General features: G+C 39.6%; 1 protein-coding gene across 48 annotated transcripts in view; it reads left to right on the top strand.

Moving 5' to 3' along the window:
• BPTF (bromodomain PHD finger transcription factor) overlaps positions 1-11,141 on the top strand; it is a 158,876-nt gene that overhangs the window by 54,287 nt on the left and 93,448 nt on the right. For 26 of the 48 annotated variants that reach the window (XM_005257150.4, XM_005257154.4, XM_005257159.3 and 23 more), the window contains one exon: positions 6,339-6,527. The exons of 20 other annotated variants lie outside the window; for them this stretch is intronic. In XM_005257150.4, the coding sequence (XP_005257207.1) occupies positions 6,339-6,527 (189 nt within the window). 2 more of the 48 variants (XM_011524520.3, XM_017024354.3) reach the window with 2 other exon arrangements.

Here is an 11,141-nt window from a genome sequence, read left to right on the forward strand (position 1 = left end):
TTTTCTAACAGTCAGCTCTAGTGGGAACTAATAGTGTGAGAACTCACTCACCCCCAACACCCAACCCGAGAGCATTAATCTGCTCTTGAGGGATCCGTCCCCAGAATCCAAACACCTCCCATTAGGCCCCACCTCCAACATTGGGATCAAATTTCAACATGAGATTTTTGGCAGGACAAACATCTAAACTATCCAAACTACAGCAGTGGGCTATTCATATTTTCTGTTGTTTTCTTAGGTTCATTTTCTTTAATCGCCTTTTTTTAAGGAATCTGCTCATTTTGGCAAATTTTTACAATTTATTAGCATAATAACATCGTATCTTTTTTATATATATAGGGTCTATACTCGCTCTATTTTTCCAATCTGGAAATTCGTTACCTGCCCCCGTTAATCGTGTTGTGAGGCTGTTAGCAATTCCATTAGTCTTTTTTTAAAAAAACACAACTTTGTCTTTGTTGACCTTCTTTATTGTATGTTTTTCTCCAAATTAATTTCTGGTCTTAGTATTTTGTCCTTCCTTTTATTTTCTTTGTACTTTTATGGATTTTCTTTCCTAGCTTCTGAAGATGGTTGCTTTGATGGTTTGTAGTTTAGTTTTGTTTTTTTATGACGTCTACTATCAAGGCTATCAGCTTTCCTCTATGTCCTGCTATAGCTACATCCCACAAACTTATTTTATTTTTAAATGCATGACCAGAACACAACCACAAACTGTAATAGGTCATGTTCCCTTTATCATTTAGTTTAAAATATTGTCTAATTTCTGTTTTAATATGGTGTGTGATGAAGTATATTGCTTAATATTCAAACATTTGTAGGTTTTTGTTTTTGGTTTTTGGTTTTTGGTTTTTTGTGTGTGTGTAAGACAGGGTCTTGCTCTGTTACCCAGGCTGGATTGCCGTAAAGTGGCCATAACTCTCTGTAGCCTGGAACTCCTGAGCTCAAGTGATTATCCCACCTCAGCTTCCTAAGTAGCTGAAACTATAGGCTAATTATCTTTTTTTTTTCTAGTTGATTTCTAGTTTAACCCTCTATCAGAGAACATTCTATGCATGATTTATGTCCTTTAAATTTTATTGACTCTTGTTTTGTGGCCCAACATTTAATTAATGTTGATAAATGTTCCATGAACAATTGAAGAGGGTGTATGTATATTATATATATATACACACACACACACACACACACGTATATATATTACATATATATATTTCAGGCTTTACTTTGAAATAAAATCTTGTCAGAATACTGTCATTTTCATATAATTTGGTAGAAGTTATGTGAAGGAGAAAATGACAAAATTGTAGTATAAAAAATGATAGGAGTGAGAACATAAGAAAATTGGGCAGATTTCATGATACCCATTATATTGAGTATTATCAGTGATCAGAAACATTTTGTGTGGCTCAGATTAAAGATTAAACTGAAAAAGTTGGGCAATATTTGGGGAAAGATTGCTACTATCACTTTTAAAAGTTAAAAAGTTAATCTCTTAATACCTATTCAGTTTCAACTGTCTTTGGCAAGAATACTTTATAAAGAATGTGCTGGTTAATTGATATTGTATCCCATCAAAAGGCTCATGGTATATGGTTTTTGTACCTTCAGAGATGCCTAGATTGATCAACGAGTTTAGGTGGTGAGATTGCAAGATTCTCTGTTAACCTCTCACTCATTAATAATCTTTCCATAATCAAGGTTTTTTTTTTTTTTTTTTTTTTTTTTGAGAGACAGAGTCTCGCTCTGTCACCCAGGCTGGAGTGCAGTGGTGCGATCTTATGGCTTACTGCAACCTCCGCCTCCCAGGTTCAAGCGATTCTCCTGCCTTAGCCTCCCGAGTAGCCAGGACTATAGACGCGCGCCACCACATCTGGCTAATTTTTGTATTTATAGTAGAGATGGGGTTTCACATGTTGGCCAGGCTGGTCTTGAACTTCTGACCTTGTGATCTGCCCACCTCGGCCTCCCAAAGTGCTGAGACTGCAGGTGTGAGCCACCCACCTGGCCCAGAATCAGTTATTTATTTGGAGACTGTAATATGGAGTTTTGGGGATTTTGGGTTTTTGTTTTTTTTTTTTTTTTTTTTTTTTTTGAGACAGGGTCTTGCTCTGTCACCCAGGCTGGAGTGCAGTGGCACAATCTCAGCTCACTGCAACCTCCGCCTCCTGAGTAGCTGGGATTACAGGCGCCCACAACCACACCCAGCTAATTTTTGTATTTTTAGTAGAGACAGGATTTCGCCATGTTGGCCAGGCTGGTCTCGAACTCCTGACCTCAGGTGATCCGCCCACTTCAGCCTCCCAAAGTGGTAGAATTACAGGCGTGAGCTACCGTGCTGGCCGGACTTCTTGCTTTTTAGCAGAATAAAATGTTTGAGGCTTATGTTACACAGTACCTATCCTGACTTGGAATCATTTTTTTTTCCTCCAAGAAGTCCTGGTTCCTTTTAATGGGAAATGATATTTAGAGACCACAGTCTAGACTCAGGGATACTTTTTGTTGTTGGGCTCTCACTGTCCCTATGCTTTTTTGGTGGGTAGTGTTATGAAAGACATATTTTTGAAAAGAAAAAGATCATCAGTTTACATTGACATTTCAGATTCAGATTGCAGATAGCATACTTAGTTTCTTTGTTTACATTTGTATATCTGTTCCCTTACACTGAAAGCCTCAGTTCCAGCAACAGTAATTCAGCTATATGTTTGCTTTATCCCAATACAGGGTATTCCTATCCTAATGTGCATTAATAATAAGAGGAAGTGATTTATTTTAAATAGTAGTATTTTCATAATACCAGTATTATTGTTCACACTAAGACTACTGAATGGCATTTACGACTTTTTGCTGCTCTTTATTTCTCATTATACTACATTTCTAGTAAGGATGTACAGACAAAATATCATATTCCAAAGTCACTTAAAATAATCCCCTGGGCTGGGCGTGGTGGCTGACGCCTGTAATCCCAGCACTTTGGGAGGCCAAGATGGGCAGATTGCTTGAGCTCACAAGTTCAAGACCAGCCTGCCCAACATGGCAAAATTCCTTTTCTATAAAAATTAGCTGGGCGTGGTGGTGCTTGCCTGTAGTCCTAGCTACTCAGGAGGCTGAGGTGGGAAGATGGCTTGAGCCTAGGAGGTAGAAGTTTCAGTCAACTGAGATCACGCCACGCCACTGCACTCCAGCCTGGGTGATAGAGCCAGACGTTGTCTAAAAAAAAAAAAAAAAAAAGAAAAGAAAAAAGGGCTGGGCTTGGTGGCTCACGCCTATAATCCCAGCGCTTTGGGAGGCCCAGGTGGGCGGATCACAGATCAGGAGTTCGAGACCAGCCTGGCCATTATAGTGAAACCCTGTCTCTACTAAAAATACAAACAAAATTAGCCGGGCGTGATGATGGGCGCCTGTAGTCTCAGCTGCTCAGGAGGCTGAGGCAGGAGAATCGCTTGAACCCAGGAGGCAGAGGTTGCAGTGAGCTGAGATCACGCCACTGCACTTCAGCCTGGGCGACAGAGCGAGACTCCATCTAAAATAATAATAATAATAATAATCCTTTGTGTAGTTATGCACAACTTGATACACAGTTCATTTGTTTCAGTTTAATTTTTAGGGATTGTATTTCTATAATAACTTTTAATTTTTTGAAAATGTAGAGCATTTACATTATTATAAATTGAAAACTATGTAACGGGAGATATTCAGAGAATTTTGACTTTCATTCCTTCTCTCTCTAGGTAACCATGTCTTTCTTTTCTAAGTAGCCATTTTTATTGGTTTTTGGTTATTCTTGAATGTTGCTTGTTTGTTTTGTTTTGTTTGTGTGTGTTTTTTGAGACAGAGTATCACTCTGTTGCCCAGGCTGGAGTGCAGTGGCACGGTCTTGGCTCACAGCAACCTCCGCCCCCCTGGGTTCAAGCAGTTCTTCTGCCTCAGCCTCCCAGGTAGCTGGGATTACAGGCGCCTGCCGCTGTGCCCAGCTAATTTTTGTATTTTTAGTAGAGACGGGGTTTCACCATGTTGGCCAGGCTGGTCTCGAACTCCTGAGCTCATGTTCCACCTGCCTTGGCCTCCCAAAGTACTGCGATTACAGGCGTGAACCACCGCGCCCGGCTCGTTTTGTTTTTTATAAATAAAAGTAAAATCTGTTTATAAATTTGTATTTCCTCCTCTTCTCACACAAAAGTAAGCATATTATAAGTATTGTTCTACACCTTGCTTTTAACATTTAATCTTGGAGATCATTTTATGTGTGAACATAGTGATTATCCTCAGTTCTTGCTACAATGCATGGTATTTCATTGTGTATACCAGCTTTTATTCAACCAATGCCCTATTGATGGGCATTTTCTTTCTTTTTTTTTTTTTTTTTTTGAAACAATCTCGTGCTGTCACTCAGGCTGTAGTGCAGTGGCGCAATCTCAGCTCACTGCAACCTCAGCCTCCCAAGTAGCTGGGATTACAGGCATGCACCACCACACCTGGATAATTTTTGCATTTTTAGTAGAGACAGGGTTTCACCATGTTGGCCAGGCTGCTCTCGAATGCCTGACCTCAGGTGACCTCAGGTGATCCGCCCACCTCAGCCTTCCAAAGTGTTGGGATTACAGGCATGAGCCACTACCCCTGGCCCCTCCCTTTTTTTTTTTTCTGACAAGTTCTCACTTTGTTACCCAGGCTAGAGTGCAATGGCGCAATCACGGCTCACTGCAGCCTCTGGCTCTTGGGTTCAAATGATCTTCCTGCCTCAGCCCCTCAAGTACGTAGGACTAGAGGCATGCACTACTATGCCTGGCTAATTTTTGTATTTTTCGTAGTGATGGAGTTTCACCGTGTTGCCCAGGCTGGTCTCGAACCCCTGACCTCAAGTGATCTGCCTGCCTCAACCTCCCAAATTGCTGGGATTACAGGTGTGAGCCACTGCTCCCAGCCTTCATAGGCATTTTCTTTGTTTCTGGGTCTTTTGCCATTTTAAATACTCCAATGAATAGCTAGCTCTATAGATAAGTAATTTAGTATTTTTTTTTTTAGTGTATTTTGGGCTAGATTTCTAGACACAGGATTGCTGTGTTAAGTAAATGCATGTGTAATTTTCCCTTCGTGTATTGTGAGACTTGGATTTTTGCCAGTTGATAACTGAGAGTAGTTTCTTCATATAGTTTTATTTTACATTTCTCATAGTTTGAATTGGGCATATTTCCATATGCCTAAAGGCCATTTTCTTTTCTTTTATGACTGTTCACATATTTTCCCATATTTTATCAGGTTGTCAGGTTTTTTTCCTGAAACCCAAAATTATACATTAAAGATAGTTACTGCAATAGACTATCAACCAATTTTTAGGTGATTTGAAGAGTATCTTGTCAGTGGCAAAAACAAAGGCAGAGGGAGACTTTTAATTTCTGAACTACCATGGAAAGACAGGCTTTCTGTTCATGGTAGTGGTAATTTTTATATGCTTTTAAGAACTATACTCTTAGTGATACTATTAAATTGTCCTCAGAAGTTAGCAATCACAGCTGGGCACAGTGGCTCACGCCTGTAATCCCAGCCACTTTGGGAGGCCAAGGTGGGTGGATCACCTGAGGTCAGGAGTTCGAGCCCAGCCTGGCCAACATGGTGAAACCCTATCTCTACCAAAAATATAAAAGAATTATCCAGGTATGGTGGCGTGCACCTGACTGTAGTCCCAGCTACTCAGGAGGCTGAGGCGGGAGAATCTCTTGAACCTGGGAGGTGGAGGCTACAGTCAGCCGAGATTGTGCCACTGCACTCCAGCCTGCGCAACAGAGTGAGACTCCATCTTAAAAAGAAGTTAACAATCGCATTTAGGCATTACCTTTCAGTTAATTTGGGCATAGTATTCAGGCAGAAGACCATAGAGTTAAATAATCCTGCTTAATTCTGTTTCTAATACTATTTGAGTACTTTTGAAAAGTAAGACTATAAGCTTCAGATTTTGAATACTATCTCAGCAAACTACCTCTGCAATATCTGGCGCACTGTAAGTTTTGAGAGATAGTCATATCACTTGGTTATTCTCCAGCTCTGGGGTATCCAAAAAATTGTCTGCCTTGTACTGGAGACTAAGGTGATACGAGTCAGTGAGTTAGAGTTGGGTCCTCACCCCCCCAAAAAAAGTCAGTGAGTTAATAGCCTGGAAGACTTAAAAAAATAAGGTGTTGCCTACCACTTTCTTTTATACATTGCATTACTGATACATGAACAGATTTTCTTTTAAAAATACAGCTTCTTAATGAAATCCTAAAACAATTGTCTTTTCTGACAATTCGTCATTTTTCATGTGATTTCCAATTTAAAAATCAGATATTCTATTTTTCTAGAAGAACCTAACAAGACATGTGAGAGCAGTAACACTAGTGCTACCACTACCTCCATCCAGCCTAATCTGGAAAACAGTAACAGCAGCAGTGAACTAAATTCTTCCCAGAGTGAATCTGCTAAGGCAGCTGATGATCCTGAAAATGGAGAAAGAGAATCTCATACACCTGTCTCTATTCAGGAAGAGATAGGTAAGAATATACTTCATCCATTCCTTTAAAGGGAAGTTTTTTCTTTTTTTTCTTTTTTTTGTGTGTGTGTGTGTGGTTTTTTGCTTTTGTTTTTGTTTTTTAGTTTTTAATTTTTTAAATGAAAGTTTGGTGGGGGGTGGAATTTAGATGTTCTTTTCCTTTATTTTTCATTTTTTTTTTAAACACAGCACTTGCACTCAATGTTTTTGTTTTCAAAATCTACAAAAGCACACAGAGCAGGGAAGAAAGATCCTTTTCATACTCCCCTCCCCAAAGGTAACCACCATGCATCAACAGTTTGGTGTGTAACATTTTAGATCTTTCTGCAGTTACATTTATGTATGTATGTTTACAAAGGTTTTGGAGAGCTTTGGGCGATTTTTTAGTTTTGGGGTTTTTTGAAATATAAACAGGATCATTCTGCATGTATTGTTCTGCATCCTGCTTTTTTTACTCAGTGATACATGGAGAGAATCTTTTTGTGTTATGAATTGAATTCATTTTTTTTTAAAGCTGCTGCATGGTACTCCAGAGTATGGATGAACCATAATTCATCTACTATTTCTCTATTAATGGACATTTATGTTGTTAACAGTTTTTCATTATTACAAATAGTGGTGCTTTTGAACATCCTTAACGTATATCTTTGTGTACTTGTGCAGGTATTTCTGGCAGTATAGAAACAGTAAGTGGACTTGCTGGTCAAATGGTAGCTACATTTAAAAAACAGTGATGGCTACTGCTTAATTGTATATCAAAAGAGATTTATACCAGTAACTTTCATACATTTCTGTTTCCTTATTCTCTCACTTAAATTCAACAACATCATTCCTCTTAACATTTTTGCCAATGGTGAAAAGTATTTCGTATACAAATTTACATATTCTTACTCATGTGGTTAAGTTTCTTACATGTATTTGTTGAACTTCCTGTGAATTGCTTATTCATATCTTTTTCTCACTTTTTCCTAATGAGTTTTGTTATTTTTCTTTAATGAATTTTAGGAATGCTTTATGTATTGTTGCTATTAATCTTCAATTTTACGTATATTTGCATAGTAATTGCCTACTTTTAGCTCTTCGTTGTCATACAGACATTTTTACATTTTTATTTACTTAAATTTATCAATCTTTTTCTTTAGAGTTTCTCTGGATTTTGTGTTTTATTGAGGAGGGTTATCCCCATCCCAAGAATATATATATGTTTTATAGTAATTCTTTATAATACTTCTATAACTTTGTTTTCAACCTATCTGAAGTAATAATTTTCATTTGATATGAGTTGGAAATCTGTTTTAATTAGGACTTTTTCAATTGCAAGTGACCAAACCAACTTAAACTAGCTTAAGTGAAGAGGGAATTTAATTAGCTCATGTAGTTGGGAAGTCCGAGCCATCATCAGGTATAACTGGACCCTCAGGTATCAAACTCTTTGTTTTCCTCTCTCTCTCACCTTTTAGGTCTACATATATTTATGTGTGTTAACCTCATTCTCTCCCAGTACAGACAGGCTATTCCCATGTGGCAGGGAAGATGGCACCAGCAATTTGTATTTATATGTTTCCAAGGTCTGTGACCCAAAGGCAAGGCCCCTACTTCTGCTCCAAATCAGAAGCCCTTGAGGAAGGAATTTGAGTGGCTTATCTTGGATCATATTGTTTCTAACCCTATGGCCAGGGCAGGCAAGGTACTACGATTGATGCCTCCAGCAAAAGTTGGGTAGGAATGGTTTTCTAAGGAAACAGGGACGCTGCAAATATTATAGCATAGTAAATATCTACACTTCCATCCTTTGGTAGCTCAGCACGTGTGTGTACTCACATTTGTTCTCATACATACAATTCAAAAATGGTTCTGCCTAATATAATGCAAAGATTTCACCCACAACTTAAAACTTTTTCAAAAACCTCTTTCCCACAGTTACATCCTGTAATTGTATCTAGACCTAAATCTAGTATTTCTCTGTGTGTATATTAATTTCAGTAGATCTGGGCCGGGCTCGGTGGCTCACACCTGTAATCCCAGCACTTTGGGAGGCCAAGGCGGGCGGATCACGAGGTCAGGAGTTCGAGACCAGTCTGGCCAACATAGTGAAACCCTGTCTCTACTAAAAATACAAAAAATACTAGCCGGGCATGGTGGTGTGTGCCTGTAATCCCAGCTACTGGGGAGGCTGAGGCAGGAGAATTGCTTGAACCCAGGAGGCAGAGGTTGCAGTGAGCCGAGATCGTGCCACTGCACTCCAGTCTGGGTGACAGAACGAGACTCCGTCTCAAAAAAAAAAAAAAAAAAAAAAAATTAAATTCCAGTAGATCTCGAGGTGGCTTATCTTGATCTCACAATCCATGAGCCACATTATGAATTTAACTGCCTATGACACTCATAAACATAGTAGAGGGTGTTCTTTAATAAAACTGGATGCCATTGTTTTTCTGGGAGAATGGCTGTGTTTGAGAGGTGAGAAACATATAAGAAGATTCCCCTTCTGGAGGCCATTCTGTTTTACCTGCCTAGTTCCTGCTGTCTGTTACTGGGGTTGGGTTGCTGGGGACTTCTATAGGATTAAACAATCATATAACCCTATTTGGCAGGTTTGGGGTTTTTTCTGACAGTAGCACTCACTTGTAGATTCCTAGGTTCCCAGCTAGTACTTAATGCCCAGTAACTTGCTTTAGGATCCATGAAGGTGAACACCCTCCACTTCCTCAGTTTATCTGTTTAGTAGGCCAATAGTCCTAGTCCTCAGGTGAAGAGTTTGTGTAGGCTTCTGCCTGCTGGTATCATTAAACAGTGAGCTGCAGAGGCTGATGTAGATCTGTAGCCTGCTGCCAGGCTGCATCACAAGGATCCACTGCTTTATAATAGGAGGAATATGGCCTTTGGGCAGAGGGTGTTCAGTAAAGACCTCTACCCTCAGTTTAGTTCTTTTTCTCCATTCCTTTAAGTCTTACCCCTGTGGTAATTTTCTCCTCCTTTCCCTTATTTGCACTAAATTTAGCAAGTGATAAAGGATTGACTCTGAGCAGTATTGGATTGTTGGCTCTGAATTAGGAAGCTTTTTAAAAGCACTGTGTCATTCTCTTTCTCTTTTCGGGAAATCTGACCCAGACCAAATGATGTCTAAAAAGTATCTATTACAGGACTTTATAGATGGTCCCAAGAACTAACCACCATAGTTCAACATCTTGGCATAAAACTCCATGATCTGAAGGCCAGGCGCAGTGGCTCACGCCTGTAATCCCAGCACTTTGGGAGGCTGAGACGGGTGGATCACTGGAGGTCAGGGGTTCAAGACCAGCCTGACCAACATGGTGAAACCCCGTCTCTACTAAAAATACAAAAATTAGCTGGGCATGGTGGCGGGCGCCTGTAATCCCAGCTACTTGGGAGGCTGAGGCAGGAGAATCGCTTGAACCCAGGAGGCAGAGGTTGCAGTGAGCCGAGATCGCACCACTGCACTCCAGCCTGGGCGACAAGAGCGAAACTCCATCTCAAAAAAAAGAAAAAAAACCTCCATGATCTGAGACCCAAGAGAAAATTGATAGTCTGACCAACTGCTTTGCTACCACACATCCAAAGTGACTTGCTTTCCAGCCTGGGGTGGCAAGATGCTCAGTACCCTCTCTCCATTTTGACTTATTATTTAAGGAGGGCAAAGAGGTGTGTTCTTTCTGTTTAAAACAAAAATCTGTGGAATGTGAGATAATTTTAATTACCATACCTTAAAAATCGGGGCTGGAAATTTGTAGAAATTTCTAGACCTACTTTTGAATTGTATTTTCTTTATTTCCAAAACTGTAGTAGTGTGATATTTTGGAGTCAAAATCTTAAAATATTCTACCAGATTATTTAGAATTTACTGGTTTTGATAGAAATACATCAAACTTGCTTAAAAAGGGAATTTTATTGACATACACTATTGAGAAGTCCAGTGTTGGTGACAGCCTCAGGTGCATTGTTGGATCTAGGGAGCCAAATGAGGTTATCGAGGCTACTTCTGATTTTGCCGTTTCATATTTTTCTGTTTATTTCTTCTTTGTGATGGGCTTATTGTTTGCTGTTATCAACGGTTTTCTCCATGTTGTGGGAATAAAAGTGGCCAACTTCTGATTTACACCCTTCCTGCTCATTAGTACAAAAAGCAAAGACCCCTTCTCCATCTCTGGATTTTAAAAACTGGAAAAGGATGCTGAGAGGATTGAGCCAAAGAGCCAGTCCTGGGACAGTCACTGTGGCCAGCTAGTGGTGTGCTTTGTCTGGCCACGCTGGGTCCTGCTGCTCGCTCCAAAGGGGCAACATACTTGATTTGCAGCCCTGGCAGAATCATATGATTAAAGTGTGGGAGGGCGGTGGTGAGGGAAGTATCTCCCCAAAGGAAAGAAGGGGTATGGAACAGGTAAAATTAACAGATGTTTACAAAATTGTCTTAATTATTTTCCCCAAAATGCATAGCCAGTTTTCCCAATCCTAGTTTTTCTCTATTTACTTAAAATGCCATCTTTATTATATATCATATAGTAAATTATCTGTCTTTTCATTTGCCAGTGCCACAGTGTCTTCATTTTTTTAAAGCTTTAAATTAAAAAGGAAAAATCAGAGCTTATTCAACTATCTG

Source organism: Homo sapiens, chromosome 17 (genome assembly GCF_000001405.40).
Source record: "Homo sapiens chromosome 17, GRCh38.p14 Primary Assembly".
Lineage (NCBI taxonomy): Eukaryota > Metazoa > Chordata > Mammalia > Primates > Hominidae > Homo > Homo sapiens.